The 22233-nt window shown below is 36.0% G+C and overlaps 1 long non-coding RNA gene across 1 annotated transcript in view; it reads left to right on the top strand.

Moving 5' to 3' along the window:
* LINC02223 (long intergenic non-protein coding RNA 2223) overlaps positions 1-16744 on the top strand; it is a 123216-nt gene extending 106472 nt beyond the window's left edge. The window contains exons 6-8 of the long non-coding RNA NR_134286.1: positions 6482-6564; positions 13079-13214; positions 15613-16744. This is a non-coding gene — a long non-coding RNA (long intergenic non-protein coding RNA 2223). The remainder of the gene's footprint in view (positions 1-6481; positions 6565-13078; positions 13215-15612) is intronic.
* The last annotated feature ends 5489 nt before the right edge of the window (positions 16745-22233 follow it).

Below are 22233 nucleotides of genomic sequence, written 5' to 3' on the forward strand. Positions count from 1 at the left end.
TATTACTCTTCTGATCCTCACTCAGTCTAGGTATTTGCCTTAGGGAAACACTGAAACCTCTCTACATTTCTCACTCCTGGTTCGTTTTTGGACTTAAACTTTTAATAAGCAAATGCCTTTCTTATTTTAACATGATGACTCTTTCAGTTTTTACTCTATTATTGTAGTCCCCTCATCCTAAAATATCCGGTGGTGTGTCCCGATGTTAACTGGAGTGGCAGACGTTATCTTTGCCAGAAACTTCTCTTTTCTCTTACTCTTGAACCAAATTTAGATGACTAAAAACTCTCCACTTTCAGGGTGAGTTCGTTTCAGTGGAGTACTGGAGCTGGTTCTCACAAGCTTGAGGGCTGATTGTTAAATCTGCAGTAATTTTGGAGCCAATTGTTAAACACCATCATTCTAAAAAATTAAGTTATAAAATCTGACAATTCATTTTAAAACAGTGGTAAATATTCAGTGCTCATCAATTTTGAATAATTTTACTATTGTCTAAGTTCTTGAGGTTATGTCTATTATATCTAAATGGTAAAAGTGTCATATGATGTGGTACTTCTGTGCATCTCTTCTCAAATTTGCGTTCAATGATGTCAGGTTGGTAGCTTGAAATCAGCCATGGTGGAAGTTTATACACTGCAGATATTGTCAGAGCCTCATATATTTTTTAACTGTATAGACTGTATAAAGTAATGGATAAAATATAATAATTCTGATTAAACTTAAAAGTATCTTGTGTCTGTAGCTGTTACATTGCGAATAGCACACATGGTGAAAATATTCTGGTACCTAAATATTAGTATCCAATCGGCAAACAAATCATTCCGGTCCTTGATGAATGAGTGAAGTTCCAACACATATCTCTATTGTTTCAATGTCATCTTACTCATTAATAAGTTAACATTCATATTAACCAACATTCAGTTGGAATTATTCTCATTTGTTAATTGCAAAACTAGGTTGACTATATAAGAATTTGGCAAAAAATAAATGAGACCATTTTGTGTGAATAAATTCACCATAAGAAATTTACAATAAAGAGTAATGTATATCTTATTTGCAAGTTATATGCTGCATATCCTTTATATCAGTTAAATTTATAATGGACTTAGGTTTGTATATCTATATCTATACTTATATTGTTCATATATACTTTTTTTTCAGAAAGTCAACCATTAAACATTTGCCAGCATTTCTTTCTTACAAGACTTTCCATATTAATTTCCAGGGGCTGCCTTTTAAGGTCAATAGGTACCAAAATCTGAGGCAAATGCACTTTAGACCTTCTCAGAAAGTGTTACTATACACTGGTATTTCTAAAATTGGTCTCGTCTCTGTTCTTGCTTCTGTCATTGTCCCACATTTTATTTTATCATATCTTTACAAAATTACTCTATATTCGCCTTCCTGTATCTACTTTTCATACAATATTTATCTTGCAACTATGTAGTCAATTTTTATCTTGTAAAATTCACATCGTTCTCTGGATTTATCTTTCCTAATCCTTTTCTGTGACACTATTGCATGTGGTATGAATTTAACTGTACATACTGAAGTTCTACATATTTTGGTCTCATTATTGAATTTTTTTTATATACTTCTGTTTTTTATCTCTTTAGTGAGTCTAGTCTCTCTAGTCTCTGGATGATGATTGAAAGAAGGTTTTCTGTTCGTAGGCATTGTCTATGCTACAATCATTCATAGGCATTCATCTCAAGTGCAGTAGAAGAGAAAGTGATAGGCTTATTCAATGTTTCAATGGGTTAGCTTCCCCTAGTTTTGAACACAATGGAACAAAATCACCTGGAAACTTGAGAGAGTCTAGGGTGGCCTTTTTCCCTCTTTCTGCATCTATGTTCAATTTCTCTTTTTCTATTTTCTTCATCAAGTCATACTGTTAGGTAAACTATCCCTCACCAATATTCAGCCCTCACATCCTGCTCCAGGTTGCAGAATGTCGTTAGACTCTAGTAAAATGGTGGCCTTCCCTTTAAAAGCACTGATTATCTGCTATAGGTTAAATTGTGTCCTCTTCCCCCTATGCCAAAGTCATATGTTGAAGTTCTAATCCCTACTACCTCAGAATGTGACCTTATGTGAAAATGGGGTCATTTCAGATTTAATTAGTTAAGATGAGGTCATACTACATTAGGGTGGACCCATGAACGAAAATGGCCAGTGTCCTTAAAAAAGGGGAAATTTGGAAACACACACACACACACACACACACACATACACTCTGCCATGTGGGCATCAAGGCAGAGGTGAGGTTGACGAGTCTACAAGCCAAAGAATGCCAAAGATTTCCAGAAAACGGCAAGAAGCTAGGATAGAGGCATGGAACAGATTTTTCCTCATAGGCAACAAAAGGAACCAACTGTGTCGATACTTTGATCTCAGAATCTTTGCCTCCAGAACGTTGAGGCAATTAATTTCTTTGTTTAAGCCACTAAATTTGTGGAACTTTGTTATGGCAGCCAGCCAACTAGTGTGTCATCTAATTATAATACTATCACTGTGACTTAATTAATATCTTGTATCACATATATAGTAAAAGTTTTTTGAGAGCAGGGACTGTGTCTATTTTGTTCATAACTGTATTCTTTGTGCCTACCATAGTGCATGACATATACTAGGTGCTCAACTGAAAACGGTTAATTGAATGGTTAATTGAATGAAAATCCTCCTCCTCAACAGAGTTTACTCTTACGATGGTTGGGAGAATTTTAGTTGTAAACTTTCTATCAGATTTTTCTGCTTGCAAATTCAAGGGGTTGGAGAATTTCTTCTGTAAATTTGTCTTTGAGATGGAAAAAGGAAGGAAACCTCTTAGTTGGGTGGGATGCATGTGTCTGGTGATAAGCGTTCTTTATTTTCACATAGGCTAAATTTACTCACTTTTGGCCATAGCAACAGAATGCGTGCAAAAGTCGAGAGAGTAGTGTGTGGAATGTGAGGACAGCGCCATATGGGGAATTGTGTGGTACGTGGTTGATATGATGTATTTTAATGTTTAATTTAAGAAGGTCTGATTTTGACAGTAAGAGTTGGGGACTAAAAATAGAACCAAATGATAAATATGGAATAGTACTGTGTGATACTAAAAAACAAAAACAAAAACAAAAAACCCTTGTGGCGTGATAGTCCATTATGTTCTATTTTTATATATAATACTTTCACGCAAAACAATACCATTTCATCTCTCTCATTTACCTAATTTGCATTATAAATGCATATTGTAATTTTATATGTGCAATGTGAGAAATCTGTCCTGTTTTTCTCTATTTCAGGCTGTTTATCTTGGGTAATTGTTTTATTGTTGGATCCATTTTAAAGATACTCTTTGTTAGCTATTTTTAATCTCATATAAATAGGATATTTAAATCCTGACAACAGAGTTTTGGCCACAGGTTGATTTATATATATTATAGCATATGGATTAGCATAAGGAGTAAGACCAAAAAAATCAGAGTTCATTCCAGAGGAGCATATGTCATTTCAATGTTTGGTGTCACGTACATTAGCTAGATAAAATAAAATTGATTCCAAAATATATTTTCTAAATACATATATGTTAGTTTATTTTTAAATAGACTTTATGGTTGTTGTTAACATATAAATTCTTCCTATTGCTGTACTAATTAAATGCAATTCTTTCCCCATCACCCCAGCATATCTATATAATTATGACATAATTTGATAAAAATATATTTAAGCAATATCTATAATAACATATTTTAGTCTTTCATTACTATAAAATTTTGAATATGGAGCCAAGCAAATAAATTCAATTTTATATATTTGGAAAAAGAGTTAGAAAGCATTTTCTAGTAAGTACATATACAAGTACATACACACACACACCAACACAGGCATGCACTCATACACACACACACACACATACACACACACACACAAACACACACTCCAACCAACTGTCATGAAATCATTGAATCAAAACACAATGCTTTGGAAGCTAAATTTGCCAAGTTTCAACTAACTAAAATGTTGGAGATTTTAAAACAATCCTTGAAGGATTTCAGTTTATGGAAGTTAAGACAATTTCTAATTCTCCAAGAATAATTTAAAACAAATTTAAACATTCAAAGGTTTTCTTGAACCTCATAAAACTTTGCACAATAATACATGTGACTTTGCATAATAATAATAATTAAGGACTAAAAGTAGGTGCAGAAGGGAGAAAATAGAAAGACAAATTGTCAATATTCAAATAGAAAATGGTCCAGAATTTTCAGAAATGAAGAATGACATGAAACACACACATACACATGAGACTAACCATGAAGTTTAATTTTTCTAAGTGATAGATTAAGTGTTTAGTAAGAGATGTTTCAAAATAGAAAATCTTTTTAAGTTAGACACCAACACTCTTAAATATTACTAGGTTTTCTCTCTTCTTATATTATTATTATGCCCAGTATAACAAAATAAATTTTTTTCTGAAATGTTATCCTGAAATTTTGAAAGGACAGAGACTAGAAAGATGCGTATTTATTTGGGGAATCATTTGACAAATGTAAGCATAGCAAATAAAATGAAATATCTCCCCCATAGTAACAAAGTGTTCATTGTATCATCGTAGAGCTAGAGAATAATAGTACCAAAATGATAAGAATTATTGGCATTAGTGAGGAAAAGAAAGACAACATGCAAACAAAATGAAATCAAGTTATTCTATGAATTGTCTTCCAATTAACCTTTAAGTTGGGAACTCAGAACTAGCCACAGGTTTTTTGAAAAGGCCTGAGTAAGCCAAATAAAATTAAGTATATCTGTAGTTTTTATGTCGAATCTGTCAATCATATGATGTCATTTAGAAGATGTCATAATAATCACTGTGACAAGTTATAACAAAGTAATGGCTTTTAAAGGACAACAAAGTACAATGTACAGTAAAATCCTTTAGATAAATAGTAGCTACTTGAGATTAATAGAAAATAAATGATTAAAGCAATATTATTTTGCTTTTATTGGCAGTGAAACAGAAAAAAAAATCATATACTTTCCATGGGGAGCACATGACACGCAGGGGAATGCACCCTGGCTGTGAGGCTTCCTGTTTCAATGCCAGCATGGGGTTGGAGCTGCAGCCTAAGATCTTGCTTTACTTTAGTTCTCTGCTTGAAAAGATCTGGATACTTAAAATGGTTGGCTCAGGGTCTCCCCTGGAAATGAGCTGCTGTCTCTGACTCATCCATGTCATACTGGAATCATAAGACTGGTTAATGCACAAACTTAGGGTTTACTTTCCCTACATTCACTCCAATTTTGTGATGTGAGACTCCAGAAGGAGGATTTTCACCTTGGACTTTGTTTAGAATTGTTTCTTTCAGTAGAAAGCAGGAAAGATCACAACAGTTGCAGAGTTACTACATCAAGAGGCTTCTACTCCCCAAGGGAGGAACTGGATAAATCTAAGAACTGCACAATGTTAACTCACAAAGAAGAATTAAAAACAGAAGACGTTTTCCTACGTAACAAACCTGCACATCCTGCACATGTATCCTGGAACTTAAAATAAAATAAAATAAAATTTTTAAAAAGAATAAATAAATAGCAGGTAAGAAAATCTAAAACTAAGAGATATACTTAAACCTAACAATGAAAGAATTTACATCCAAGTTGAAATAGAATTGATGGGATACTTTTGGAAGCGGATCTCAAAATAAATATAACAAAAATTCTTAAAAAGATAAGTAAATAATACTCATGAAAAAAGAATACAATTATGCAACAAAGTAAAAACTAAAAAAGTTTTCTTTGCTTTCTATGAGGGATTATAGATAGATATGAGGAATTGTTCCAGAACAGAGCCAGATACATAAATAGAAGTCACAGGACCTAGAGAACAGAATGAGAAGCTCTAACAGAAGACCAAAGGAAGGTGCAGAAGAGAGAGAAAATAGAAAGACAAATTGTCTATATTCAAATATAAAATGGTCCAGAATTTTCAGAAATGAAGAATTACATGAAACACACACACGCACGCACACACATGCACACACACATACACACACTCCATCAAACAACAGAAAAGTCCCTTTCATTTCATACATACATGAAACACTTAAAAAGGAAGAAGTAAACAACATCAAAAAAAGCATAGGACTAGTTAGAGATGAAGTAGAGATTTAAAATAGCACAATAGAATTTTCCAATGAATTTGATAATTTATGTCAAATTGATTTATGTTTAATAGAAATATACAAATTAACAAAACTGACATAAGATGAAACAAACATCACTAGTAGATGAATAACATGAACAAAATTTAACAGGTATACAAAAAGTGACCTATTTTAGATGTCCCTTCAATTGTGGAAACCGGGGAGTTGCTACATGTATATTTTTTAGGAGATAATATTTTTCTGGGTTTTAAGCTAATACTTCTTAATATTGTTCCTATTGCAGCAATTTCAAACAATGAAAGAATCAGAACCCTTGTGTTTTTCCATTTTTGCAGCCTAGTCCAAAGACGTTTACATCCTGGAAGAGAACTTGCTGGCTTTTCACCTCAGCATGTATGGGCCAAACTAATATAACAAGGTAAAATGTTTTTATTGGCACCTATCTCCTATTTTGATGCTTACACTAAGGTAATCTATCATTCAAGCTGATGGCTGGTTGGTAACTTTTGTAGCACTCTACCTCCAGACATCTATCCTGCTCGTTACTGAGCCTTCCACATTCTTTTGTATCTTACCTCAATGTTGATTAAAATCAATCACTACTCTCTAAATGGCTTCATATTCAATAATAGTAATAAGCTCTTAGCACACCATATAAATTTCAAATATTAAAAGAGTAGAAACATGTTTTCAGAAAATGGTTGAATTTTCATAGAACTTTAATTTTGTATTCAGTTTATAATGCTTCTTTAATTTTTCTTAAGGAAAATTCTTTAATTTTTCTTAAGGAAAATTCTTTCTTGTCAACAAGATCATTAACAGTTCCAGAGAAAGCCAGGCAAAGCTATGAACACAGAGTTCACAAAGAAATACAAGGAACCAATACGTACATTAAAATAAACTAAATCTCAAGAACAACTTTAAACAACATAAACAATATGGAGGTAAGCTTTTTCATCTAGATGGTCTAAAGTAATAGGCACTTTCATGCATTAAAATTGGCATATTCTGTCTATAAACTTATTTTAAAATTTTTAGGAAATTAAAATACCTTTGATCAGGCAGCTATAATTTCAGAAATTTAAGCAATGAAAGTACTCAAACACATACCTAATGTTTAGTGCAGCTTTTTAATAACTTGGAAGTGGTTTTAATCTCACTAAAGGGACTCTAATTAGATATATTGTGTTCAATTTAAACAATGAGATAATACCCCAGCCATTAAAAAGAAGAATGCATCACTGTATCTGAAAGTGATACGGGACAGGGGAGTTTGGGAGGGATAAAAGTGTTATTTCTCATTTCATCATATGAGAATTTTTACAACTAAATTAATATTTAAAATGTAAAAATCCAATTAAATATCAAAATGATCTATTGCTATTACCTCAACATTACAATTATGATATAAATATTATTGGAATGTGATGGAATGGGAAGCATACATGCACATTTGATTTGATTTGCTAATTTCCATTTAGGAGTTTGAATCTGTATTCACAAGTCAGGCTGTCCCTTGGAGTTCCTTGTGCAGTCTTGTTGGGAGCTGGTAATACATTTGTAAGATGGAGCACTACAAAAGCACCATTTTTCTCTTCTGCCTACTGAAGAATAATTTGTTTTTTTTTTTCCTCAATTAAGGAAAACGGTAGAAAACAGTTTTGGGGAGACTTTGTGGGATTTTGTTTTAGATATAAGCCTGGCAGATCACAGACAAGAAAAAAGATATTGAGACCATTACAATCTTCTATTTGGCTTAACGTTAAGCCCTTCCTCCTGGTATAAATGTGAGGGCCTCCCAAAGCACTCAATTTGTCTAAGTGCTTCTTGTTTATTGGGAAGAAGGGATCAATAGTCTTCAAACATCTGTCTTCAGGATTCAGAATTCAAACATTTTTGGAATAAATTTGGGTGGATGAAACCAAGATACAGAGGTAGGGAGGTGATTGGAGAAACAAGTAAAATTATCATGATGTTAGGGATGAGGCATCCAGGGGGTTGGTTTCAGCCAGGAAATTGAGAGCAGAAAGGAAGAGTGTTTTCCATCACATTCTATTGGAAATGGTTTAGACGTAGGAGAACTACTTAATCTGAGAATTAAAACATCAAGGTCGTCACAGCTGTGATCATACTTGGGGACAAGTCAAATTGACCTGATGCTCTTTTGTGAGCAGATTTAACCTAAAGAAATTCTTTGGTATCTGGGCCTTGTCTCAGTGACAGACCAATTCTTATTCTGGAGGGATCCCAGAAATTGTCCCCAATTTTCACAGCTTTAACCACCACATAGGTGGGGTAATGGAAAGCGCTTACTCTCTAGAACCTGGCTAGATTGAGCACTTTTTTTTTTTTTTTTGAGATGGAGTCTCGCTCTGTTGCCCAGGCTGGAGTGCAATGGCATGATCTCGGCTCATTGCAACCTCTGCCTCCTGGGTTCAAGCGATTCTCCTGCCTCAGCCTCCTGAGTAGCTGGGATTACAGGCACGTGCCACCAAAAATACTAATTTTTGTATTTTTAGTAGAGATGGGGTTTCACCATGTTAGTCAAGCTGGTCTCGAACTCCTGACCTCATGATCTGCCCACTTCAGCCTCCCAAAGTGCTGGGATTACAGGCATGAGCCACCGTGCCTGGCCTTTTGCACTCTTTTAACTGGGAAACTGGTCAGCCCACCCTGGCTACTTGAAGGGCTGATACTGAAAGACAAGATGCCACCTGCTACATGTGTTAGCTACTGAAACAGGAACTTTTCTTGAGTTACAACATTTATCACAGGCACTGTTGATCAGTGATAACAAAGACATGAGATTTTTGATATATCAGCAGTAAGTTATTCATATAAAACAGCAGACAAATATGCTAAAACTGTGAAGTGCAGGTATGAAACAACCATATCATTAGATAAGCATTGGAAAAAGTGTAACAAGATTTTATCATTTGAAGTTATTTAACTTTGCAAAAGTATAAATAAAACATAAATCTCTCTAATAATGAATAAACACATGGAAATTTTAAAATCCCCAAACTAGAATTTGATTTGCAATAAGTTAACTTTCATTTATATCCTTCAAATATTTTTCCCTCAATTTTATGCCAGCAATTTGTCAATGGTCCAAAATTTAGTGATTTCCTGAAATAGTTCTTCAGGTTTTTGTTTTTTCTTTGAAGAGAAGGTAAACAGGATTCTTTTATTTAAAAAATGCTCCTCATAAATACCAAACAAGAAATACTATTAACAATACCATTTTTTTCTTTTATGTATATATTTAGCAGAATGCATTAGTAAGTTTACATTAAAAGAAAAAATAGAGAAATTTTTAGTAAAGTTTTTTTATATGAAGTTTGGGAATGTTAGGCAGGCCACACTGAAAAATGTGTATGTCATCAATACATCATGTTGTCACATAATAAGCATTAAGGCTTGTAAATACTGCACAATCATTTGACCTCAAAATGAAATTTTTATTCTTTCAATAAAAAATATTGGTCAAAATGGATTTTAAAGACAATAAATACTAATCGTGTCAAATAAATATTTTAATAGCAGTTTAGCAAGTAAATGCATATATCTAATTAGTACAGTTGTCCCTTGGTGTCCATGGGTAATTGGTTCCAAGACCCAGGTGGGATGCTCAAGTCTGTGAAATGAAATGGCATAGTTTTTTCATAGAACTTTTAAATAATGTCTATGTTACTTATAATACTTAGTACAATGTAAATGCTATGTAAGTAGTTGTTATACTATATTGTTTTAGTGTGATTTTTATTATTATTGCATTTTTTTTTTTTTAATATTTAGATCCTTGGTTGGCTGGAATCAGTTGCGCAGGAACCTGTGGCTATAGCGGGTGGACTGTGTGTTTCATTCTAATTCCTAACATTCATTTTCTTTGTAGAAAGAATTCTTGCCCACTCTGTTCTGTGTTCTTTTTGAGTGCTTTGCTCAGATGTTTCTCGGGTGAGGGATTGATCTAGAGAATATAATTTTCCATTACACTAAGGGCTGGATATGGTTGGAGGAACATAAGAAAACATGGAAGGGGGCCGGGCGCGGTGGCTCACGCCTGTAATCCCAGCACTTTGGGAGGCCGAGGCGGGCGGATCACGAGGTCAGGAGATCGAGACCATCCTGGCTAACACGGTGAAACCCCGTCTCTACTAAAAATACAAAAAATTAGCCGGGCGTGGTAGCGGGCGCCTGTAGTCCCAGCTATTCGGGAGGCTGAGGCAGGAGAATGGCGTGAACCCGGGAGGCGGAGCTTGCAGTGAGCCGAGATCGCGCCACTGCACTCCAGCCTGGGCGACAGAGCTAGACTCCGTCTCAAAAAAAAAAAAAAAAAAAAAAAAAAAAAAAAAGAAAACATGGAAGGGAAACTGAAGGCAAATATTGAAATGACAGATGAGATTTATAAAGGAGAAGGGGAGTGCTAACATTCAGAAAGCAGATACTAGAATTTCATTAGTTTGAAAGCATTGGCTTTTATAAAGTCTTTGATCAAATTAGTTTAGATAGAAAATAACCTCTTTTTTTTTTTTTTTTTTTGAGACGGAGTCTTGCTCTGTCGCCCGGGCTGGAGCGCAGTGGCATGATCTCGGCTCACTGCAAGCTCCGCCTCCCGGGTTCACGCCATTCTCCTGCCTCATCCTCCCCAGTAGCTGGGACTACAGGCGCCCGCCACCACGCCCGGCTAATTTTTTTTTTTGTATTTTTAGTAGAGACGGGGTTTCACCGTGTTAGCCAGGATGGTCTCGATTTCCTGACCTCGTGATCTGCCCACCTCGGCGTCCCAAAGTGCTGGGATTACAGGCATGAGCCACCGCGCCCGGCCGAAAATAACCTCTTTGACACAGATTTTGTCAGATACGCCACTATGTAAAGCAATATTCCTGATTAACGACCTTTCAATCAATTCAACAATTTTGAGTTTTAGTTGGTCATGAATAATTACATGGTTTGCTCCTTTTTTTAACCAAAGTTCTCTTTCCAGATAATTTGAAATTGACTCACAATTATCAGTTTTGATAATTATTGCTAATTTTGTTCCTTCTAGAGATATTTGCATTTTACAGAAATCAAAACGTTCACACTAATGGTAAATTTTTGGTGCTTTGTCTAGTTCTTTTTTTGACTAGTGTTTAGAAAAATAAGTTGTTTCCATGAAATAGCTAATTCTGTGAAATCATTAACAATATTTTTATTTTCACTGAAATGAAGTAAAAAATTTAAGGAAATTTTAACACTATTTTATATATAACAAATTAATATTAATAGGAAATATGCTACTAATTTAAATTTATCTCCCCTTGGTCAACAGGATCTTTCAGAACATTTCTCCCCTAGAGCTTACAAATATGTGTGTTTCTGAGAGTGCGTGTAGTAGAAGTCCATTTTATCTTATATTTACATATGGAACATCTCAGATTTGTTGTCTCCCAATTCCCATTTCAATCCCAGACACAGAGAGCTTGAATGCTTGAGATGAAAACACACACACTACGTTGGAGACACACACACACAAACACATATGCACACACACAAACATACGCGCACACACACGTTGGATAGCCTTTATTTGACCTTCTCAGCAGAGGTGGGGTATTTCTCAACCCTGTACTGATATTTTCCTATGAAGACTTCTTTCCACACTATGTGCCATCAGGCCTGTTACACATTTTCTAGTTTCCTTCTTTTAAACAGAGCAAAGAATATAAGTCTAAGACCAAAGTTTACATTTCTAAATCCACCTGCCAATCAGTCAAGCAATTCCTAAGCAGCAGTTACTACTGAAGCTGCTGGGTGGGCCTGCCACACAATCACAGCAAGGCGACAGTGAGCCTAAGTGGAGTTAGACTGTTTCTTGCTCATGGCACAATAGACAGCATGAGACTTAGGCTTGCATCACTTCCTCTTGTCCTCCCAGTCCCAAAGAAGGTGATGCGGAGCAGGCCCAGGTGAATGCTGCTCACACAGTGGGTTGTGGTTATGCCTGAAGAACACTGAGCTTAGAAAGCTCTCCAACCTCATGAGGGGACCACAAGCACATTTGCCTATCTTTCTCTCTGAAGAGAGACATTATAATTCTAATCAGAAACAAATTTTCAGGTCAGAAAACAAATCTGCCTTTGGACAGAGATGTTACTTTTATCACCCTGGAACATGTCAGGAGATGGGAGGAGGACTCCAACTTTAGAAATTTGGAATCTAAGCAAATCTGCTTCCTGTCCAGAAACATCTTTGCAAATACCTTGGACAAGTTTCCTTGAAGAAGTTGCCAGTGCCTTTTGCTCAGCTGTGCAGAAATGGCAGCTCCATGAATCATCTCCCAGCCCTATCTTTTTCTCACCTTTGGTTCCTTTGTCGAAACTTTACTTCTGTTTTGCATTTTGCATTTTTTTCTTTCTCTTTATGTATTACAAAAACAAAATTTTATTATATTCCTAATTATCCTTCAAGACAGCAATTCCCATGTGCTTTACTAGATATAAACAAGTGATATGCTTGTCTTTGAGGTAATGGAAATGGAAATTTGCAATTGAAGAGGAATTAATTTTTTTTATTTCCTGATACAGACACTTAACTCTGATTACTTTTTCAGATTGAATCGGTGTTAGTAGGACATTTGACCGTACAAATCTCTTTCTATTAGAGAAAGAGATAAATTTGGATGTATGATCACTGCTTTGGAAAATGCTAATATGATGAATTTAAAGAGACGGAGATATCAATGTACCCCTGATAGTGGAATAGGTGAAAAATACACTGTTCATTTCAAATTAACAAATACTAAATTTCAAAAGTGTAATCTATTAAAGATATGATTACTAGGTACAGGGTCATATTTTCTTACCTCTGCAGCACCTGAAATCCATCCCAGATTAAATCAGGCTACCCTCGATTTTTGCTTTTTTTGATTATTTTTTCTTATTTTCCAGAAGTCTTGAGAGGAGTCAGCGGCCAAGCTCCATGTCTTGCAGCCAAACAATGCTGTGGGATGGAAGGTGGGATGTCATGTGTCTGGTTTACAGCACTCACGTATCAGTTGGCAGTTAACGGAAGTGCTACTGATTGGTAAGCACCCAGAAACATCAGGCAGAAAACCTGCTTACACTGGTGCTTTAGCCTTGGAGATTCCTGAGAATTTTCACAAATTAACCTCATTTGCTGAGAGAGGCCAATATGGAAACTTAAAATTAATTAATGCATTAATTAGTTAATGTAGAGGAACACAAAGTCAAGAATGTGTTCCTTGTTTTTTTTTTGTTTTAAATTGTCTGGACAGTTGAGCAAATGGTCTTAATTCTTCTAAATATTGGAAACCTGGTGTCTAGGCACAAAACTAGATTTTTGGCGTCATTGAGGAATAAATATATTTGTTGTTCCACTCAACAAGCAGAGATCAATACAGTATTCTAGGTCTATTGGGAGGAGGGGCTGTACATGATAACTTACCTAGTGCTTTTTGTCTAGCACTAATGGAGTTGGGATGTACTTCTGCCAAAGGACTAATTTTAGGAGGACTTTGGGACTGTTGGGTAATAAACTGATCAATGCGATGAAGACCCCAGTCCCTCTGAACTCTTGGAGCTTATGAAAGTCTAGATGTCAAGCCAGAGAAATTGTGAAGATTATACCTCCTAAAAAATAATCTCCAAAAAGATCAAGATGTATGTTCATATCTATTGATTTTCGGGAAGCTACTATTTTCTATAATCCCTCAGTTGGGGGTTTTATGCTTACCCTTTTCAATGTTCACTGATAGTGAGATTGAATAAGTCATCAATGAGAAGAGTGGTTTGAAAATATGTAGCGTAGTACATAAATATTATGTAGAATTAAGAAGGCAGCACAATCCTCAATAAGGTCCAGATACTCAACTTACATTTAAAGCTCTAATTAGTACTCCTACCTTTTGAAATATACAGTTACACTGCTGTGCATTCCTAAAAGAATGCTACAGTTAGACATTACAAAAAATATTACGGTTCCCAAAATATAAAGTCATAAACCTATGTTTATAAAAACAATTGCATTATGAACCTGGGATATAATATATATCACAATCATTCAGCTTACAATAATTTGAGAGTGCTGATGTGAGGATTTCATCTTGGTTAACTGAAGGAAATAATAATTTGTTTAAGATCATCAACATGTGATCAACTTGAAATAAGAGCTTCTCAGTGTTATGAAAATTGTGAGTTGATAATGTGTAACACAATCAGACTAAAATAAGCCTTATTAAAGCAGATTTCTCTAAGGGTACTTCTGCTTCATTTTGCCAATTCTGGACTCTGCAATCTTAATTTCATTGGTTAGGGAGGATCTACTCCCTCTAACACAATACATGCAAATCATAAATTAGAATTGGTTGCATATAATGTAATAGAGAAGCTGTATTCAGCTTACTCAATTAGCAGAAATGTATATGCAACTGGTATAACACACATTAACAGATTGGAGTGCTAATATGAACATATCTCTCATTTCAAAATTAAAACTGGTAGGGACCCCATTTTTCAGATTAGGAGGAAGTCCAGCATCTTTCTAAAGAAATCCCTCACTGCCTGCATGACTTGTTAAGATAATTCAGAGACTTACTCAATACCAACTACCCATTCCAGAGTCCCAATTTTATTTAAGGACAAACTGTAGAATTCACTCAGTGCACAAGTGAAATCAGGTTTTTGCCTGTTTTTGTTCTTGTTGCTGCCATAACATGTCTCTCTTGCAAGCTGCTCCATGTAATCCAGTGTGTGGTTAACACACACAGGTTGGCACAGTCCCTGCCTGGAATGTGGAGAGGCTCATACTTGGATTTCTCAGGTCAGGCTCATTGGTTAATGCTTACATGTTCAGACATTTTCCCCAAAGCATGGTTTCTAATCCAGGATGGCTGGTCCAGCCTGGGCTTCCAGCCACAGCTGGTCATTTTCCCAGAACCAGCTCTGGCGTGCTGCTTGAGTCACAGCTCTGACCTTCCCTCCCTTCTGTTAAAGTTCCCTTTTAGGTGGCCTTAATGTCCATTTCTGCTACTGTGGTTGGGGAAACCTCAGCCTTACAGAGGATGTTCTCCTTTTCTTTTCGACTGTATGCTATTAAATCCCGGTCTTTGTTCAGAAACAAAAACAAAAACCTCAGCTCTTTACAAAAACTGAGTTTTCCATTTATAAGTCTAATTTTTAAAGCAAAGGTGACAAATGATTACTCTTAAATCTTTTTATCTGCTGGATTCCGTGGAGAAGATTTTGAGAGACTGGTGGGTTAGAGTGGTACAAGATTATGAGGGCAATTTCCCAACCAGTAAGAAAAGCCACAATCACTCTAATCATTAGTTATATAATTACCTCTAAGAGTAGCAAAAGAAAAGATTCTGCTTTCAAATGACAGAAGCCCTGAAAATCTCATCTAAGGAACTGGAAATAACTTGTCTGTATTTTTTTCCTCTGTGCTCTAAATTCATTTTTAGTAACAGTGGAAGCAATTTGAAATGAAATACAACACTTAAAGCAAATGAAACGGAAGTGAATGCCAGCAGTAAATGGCAAGAAGAAATCCAGTTCAGTGTGTTCCTCAGAAATCTTGCCTCTTGGGACTAAATGCTGCAAATGTAACTCTTATCCTTGTTTTTCAAGTTTTACCATCTCAAAGCTATCCACTTTATATTAAATTAGTTCTGTTATATTATGTCAATTTGTATTCTTAAGAGCACAAGTTTGGCCTCAAATAGACCTGAGCTGAGATCCAATTCTTTAATTTATCTGTGTTGTTTTCTTTTTCCTTAGCTTTAAAGTGGAAAAAATGCTACTTACATTTTATTTATGAAGGTTAAAGATAAAGTGTCTGATATGGGACCTATCATATGTGGTAGGCACTTAGTACATGGTAGCAATTATGATTATTATATCTGATATTAGCATTATTATTATGATTTGTTTTAATCTTCAAAGTATCAACTGTTTCTATTACATTTGTGGTAAATACTCCTAAACAGAGTTTTTAAGTTCAAGTGTCCAAAGTTGTTAGAAACAAAGATATTTGACAATAACATAATCATATCACATGACCTCATGATTTAACCACCTCCCAAAGTTGCCACCTCCTAATATTATCACCTTGGGGGTGAGGTTTCAACATATGAATTTTAGAGGAACATAAACATTCAGACCATAGCAATAATGAAGATAAAGAGTTTATTCATAGATAAATGTTAAGAAGTAGATACTGTTTGTTAGGAGAAGTGTCCACAGTTAGGGAGAAGTTAGAGGTCTGGTGTCATCTTTGATTTTTGTGTTTCTTCCGGAACCCTGTTGCCTGGCTTCCTACACTATTTCTTGTGTCTTTTTCTTGTAGCTAAACTTGAACATTTTTTCCTTGAGTACCATTTTACAATCAACTGTGCTTTTATGCAGTGGACTTTCACTGAATGTCCCCTATTGGAAATTTTAACAACAATTTAACAACTATTTATTTGATACTTTCTGTATAACCAATATTATTGAACATCCTAGGAACACATACATAAATAAAACTTGATCTCTGCTTTCAGAAAAGTTGATCTATTTGGAAAGATATCAAGAAAATAAACAACCTCAACATTATCACATGGTTTTATAATAACATAATTTCTTAGGGGTTCTGTGGTTGGGGCAGGAAACACCAGGAACTGTCTTGGAGGAAGCTGAAGTTTTTTTGCAGTCTTTATGAATGAAAAGTTTATAAGAAGGACAAGTATAGAACTAGAGTTTCTGGAATTGGGAACATCATAAATAAAAGTACAGATGCAGAATATCACCAGGTAATATGTGGAAAACTGAAATTGGCTTGTAAATTATAGGGTTGGGGGTAGTAATTGATAAAGCCATAGAGATGCACAGATGCCCCATGTGAGAGGGTCCTGTGTAGAAGGCTGAAGTGCATGCATTTCATCTCAAAGACAATGAGAAGCTCCTGCAAGGGCTGTTTAAGTGAAGAATAATGTGCCATTTAGAGTTTATAAGTACTGAGTAGCAGTCATTCACAATTCAAACCAATTCTGATTCATACTAACAAAATTGAGAGTTCAGAAGTAATTTGGCAAACATAGAAAGACGTATTCAAAGTCAAGATTCAATTCTCCACATGTATCCCATTCCATTCGCTCAAGCCCTGGATCCCTGAGAGAAATCCAGTGAAACTGCCCTTCACTAAGGATTTGAGAAATACAGTGTTGAGGAAATCACATGGTCTTTTTATAATAGTGATTTACTCATTGTTTTCTCCAAGGTAGAAATGCTGGTGGCAAACACTATGAATAAAATGGGTTGTTACTTTGGTGTTTACCAAAGAGAAGGGCCTAAGACAAATGCTGTTATTAGGGAATGCAAACCAGGAAAGTAGGGGTAAGACAGAAAAGGAGGGAGAACAAATATCTGAGTGTTAATAACAGGCTGGCAGTAAAACTGATAGCTGGATCTTGTAGGAGTATGCTGTCAACTACATCTCAGGACAGTACATCTTGGAGGATGAAAGAAGAATTTATTCATCAACTACTGTCTCCATTGTATTCTCATTGTGTGTCCCTAACACTATCTACTTGGGTTTGCATCTTAAAATCCACCAGGGAAGCCCTGGGTGGGAAATGAAGCATATGTAGGGTAATGGCATGAGGGAATGTACTATTGGGTTATACTTACATGAAGTCAATAGAACCCATACAGATTGAGCCACTTCTATTGTGGCCAGGTGTGGGTGGTGGTGATCAACAGCCCTGAGGTTGAGACAAATCTGAAGACTCTCATATAGACACCCTATGGTCAATGGGGATGAAACAATCACAGTGTGCAGAGACTGTGTTGGAGCACATTCGTCTTCAATAGCTAAGTGGATGTGGTGTTTAAAGCAGAGGGTAGGACTGGCATTACCATCACATCTCTGTGGTTTGTAGGATCTGCTGAGTTCTTTCACACTGGCTAGTTGGTAGTAAGGTATCTAGGATTGTTTCTGATAGTCCTTATGTTCTTCTTCAGTTGTTTAAATATAGGAATTCCAGCTGTCACGCATAGAGATCTGACTTGAGTAAACATGATCGAGATTATATACACCTTTTCCCAGTATCAGATGAAGGCTCAGGGTGGTCATAGACATAGACACTTTGAAGGAAAAAAAACCAATTGGGTTTCCTGAAACAGGGCTTCATGATGGCTGAGTAGAGGCATTCAGTACTTCCCTCCCTCACAAAAAACAAAATTGTGAGGAGATCATTATACTTCAAATAGAACATCTAAGAGAGAACGATGCTGGAATTAAACAGAGAAGTGACAGGAAACACCTAAGGCAAGAAAGGAGAGGAAAGTGAGGAAATCTGCCCACCTAGGATCAGCCAGGAATCTGGAGAGGCTTCCGATCCAGGGAAAGAGTAAATGAGTGACCTTCAGTGGTTCATATTTCCACCACAGACTCTTGTAAACCTTGCCACAAAAGAAACTGTCAACCCATACGGGCCCTGAGACTAAGATAGGTGGCTTCCTGTAGTCAGGAGCATCATGGATTGCTCCAAAGAGGGATCTCACACCAGGTTCCACACCTGCCTCCTGAGTCCTGAGAAGCTATAGAAAGGCACTATTTTGAGATCCCAGCCCCTACCAAATTGCATCTTACCCTGGGGCCCAATAGCCCTTCATCTCCACATCCTTGGAGCCCAATTACCACCACTGAAAGCAACCCCACCTTCCCCAGCAGCAAGACTGAAGCATAGCCAGTGCCACCCAATCTGAACAATCAACCAGGAGCCTAGGGATCACCCCACCCTTGCCTACCACAGCCAGCACCCACATGTCCCACTGGAGAAACTGAGGACTGGTCTCCTGACCTGGTTTCCATCATCCCCCACCCAGCATCAGACTCCTAGGTGTTACCCTACTTATTCACTACAATTGGCAACTTAGCACTCCCCATGAGGGCCTGATGATGGGCCCAACCAACCTGTTGCTACCACAATAGCTGGCACCCACCCTCATGCACCACATCCAGGCCTAGGAACTGACATGCACAGCTCATTGCAGTCACTGCTAACACCAATGTGGACCCCTTGGGAACCAGAAGATTGTTCAATAATTGCTACTGCCATTTCCCATGTCATGTCTAATATTCAAGAACCTAAGGACCTTCTCACTCAGCCAACTTCTGCCACTCCTCAGCACCTAAACAAGCTGCCTGGAGGCCCAGGAATTAGACTGCCTTGATTCAATAACATGAGTGACAGCAAGTGCCATCTTGGGGCCTTAGGACAGCCAGGCTTGGGCCCCACTGGGCCACCACCGGGACCTGAGGACTGGTCAACTGATGTCCCTGTCCCCAGCAAAAGTTTACCCCTAGAAACCATGCCCTAAGTCATTGAGGAAATCAAAGACACCACTGACACTTTTTACAGCCAAATAAATCATGTGGAGACTACACTACAGCACAAACCCAGAATAAAAGCCAAAGTGCCCTACCCACCATAGTTACATCTTCAGGAAAAAGTTATCCTATAAGAAAGAAAACTTTAAAAACTGAAAAAAATTACACCAGATGCACAGGTATGAATGTAAGCACAAAAGAAACATGAAAAAACAAGAAAATATGATACCTCCAAAGAAACACAATGATTCTGCAACGAGATTCCAATGAAAAAGAAATGTATAAAATCCTAGATAGATAATTCAAAATAATGATAATAAAGAAGCTCAGTGAATTGCAAGAGAATATAAAAAAATACAAAGAAATCAGGAAAAAATCAGGCTATTAATGAAAAATTTACCAAAGAGAGGGATATTATTTTTAAAAACTCAGAAATTCTAAAACTGGAGAATTAACTAAATGAAATACAAAATACATTTGAGAGCTTTAACAATAGACTAACTCAAGTAGAAGAAAGAATTTAGAAACTTAAGAACAGGTCTTTTGAAATTACCTAGTCACACAAAAATAAAGAAATAAGAATAAAAAAGAATGAATAAAGCTTTACATGACATATAGGATGCCAAATGTGACAAAATATTCCCTTTTTTTTTGGTGTCCCAGAAGGCAAAGAGAAAAATGAAAGGAAGAAAAAAACCTACATAATAAGATAATAGATAAAAACTTGCCAAGTCTAGCAACAGATTTAGATATCCAGATACAGGAAGCTCTCAGATTCCCCCCAAAAGGATACAATTCAAAAAGTTCTCCAGCGCACATTGTAGTCAAACTGTCAAAAATCAAAGACAGAAAAAATTTGCAAAACACCAAGAGAAAATTGTCTAGTCACTTATAAAGTAACCCCCAACAGATTAACAGCAAAATTCTAACCAGAAACTTTAAAACCCATGAGAGAATGAGATGATGTATTCAAAGTGCTGAAAGTAAAAGAAAAAGGAAGCAGCCAAGTTTCTCTTTATAAATGAAAAAGGAATAAAATCTTTTTCGATAAACAAAAGCTGTGGGAATTCATCACCACTAGACCAGTTCTACAATAAATACTCAAGAGAGTCCTACAGGTGGAAGTGAAGGAATAATATTTACCATCATGAAAACACACAAAAACATAAAACCCACTAGGTAGAGCAAAAACACAAATGAGGAAGATAAAGGACTCAGATGTTATCACTACAGAAAACTACCAAACCACAATGATAAACAATAAGAGATAAAGGGACAAAAGATACATAAAACAGCCAGAATCAATTAATAAAAGGACAGAATAAGACCTCACATGAAAAGGGATTACACTTTCCACTTAAATGATACAGACTAGCTGAATGGATTAAAACAAACAAAACCAAATGACCCAACTATATGTTGCTTACAAGAAACTCATCTCACCTGTAATGGCACATTTAGGCTGAAAGTAAAGGGATGAAAAAGGACATTGCATGCCAATAGAAACCAAAAAGGAGCAGGAACAGCTATATTTATATCAGATGAAACAGAATTTAAGTCAAAAACAGTAAAAAGAGGCAAAAAGGTCATTATGTAAAGATAAAAGGATCAATTCAGCAAGAAGTTTTTAACAATTTTAAACATATATGGTCCCTGTACGAGAGCACTCAGATATATAAAGCAAATATTAGATCTAAAGGGAGAGACAGACCCAACACAATAATAGTTGAGGATTTCAATGTCCCACTGTCAGCATTGGACCGATCATTAAAATAGAAAGCTAACAAACAGTAAATTTAAACTGCGCTTTAGACCAAATGGATCTAACAAACATTTATGGAACATTTCACTTAATAGCTACAGAATATACATTCCTCTCATAGCACATGAAACATGCTCCTGGATAGACCATATGTTAGGACACAAAATAAGTCTCAACAAATTTTTTAAAGATCAAAATTATGCCAATATTTTCTCATACCACCATGGAATAGAATTATAAGTCAATGACAATAGGAATTTTGGAAACTGTAAAAATTCATGAAAATTAAACAACATGCTCCTGAATGACCATTAGGTCAAGGAAAAAATTAAGAGTTTTTTTTTAATTTATTGAAACATGAGAAATGAAATATAACATACTAAAACCTATGACATACAGCGAAAGCAGGGCTAAGAGGCAAGTTTATAACAACAAGCATCTACATGAAAAAGGGGGAAAGAATTCAAATAAGCAATCTAACAGTGTACCTCAAAGAACCAGAAAAGTAATAATACAAAACCAAACCCAAAATTAGTAGAAGGAAAGAAATAATGAAGATCAGAAAAGAGCCAAATGAAATAGAGACTAAAGTAAAAAACAAAACAAAACAAAAACAAAGTATCACCAAAATGAAAAATTGTTTCTTTGAAAAGTTAAACTTCTAGCTAGACTAACCAATGAAAGGAGAAGAACCAAATAAAATCATTAATGAAAAAGGTGATTATGACAATTGATGCCACCAAAATATAAATGATAAGCAGGGACTGTTATGAACAACTATATGCTAATTAACTAGAAAACCTAAGCTGGGCGCAGTGGCTCAGGCCTGTAATCCCAGCACTTTGGGAGGCCGAGGTGGGCAGATCACAAGGTCAAGAGATCGAAACCATCCTGGCCAAAATGGTGAAACCCCATCTTTACTAAAAATACAAAAATTAGCTGGGCGTG

The sequence above is a fragment of the Homo sapiens genome, chromosome 5 (genome assembly GCF_000001405.40).
Source record: "Homo sapiens chromosome 5, GRCh38.p14 Primary Assembly".
NCBI classification, from domain to species: Eukaryota; Metazoa; Chordata; class Mammalia; order Primates; family Hominidae; genus Homo; species Homo sapiens.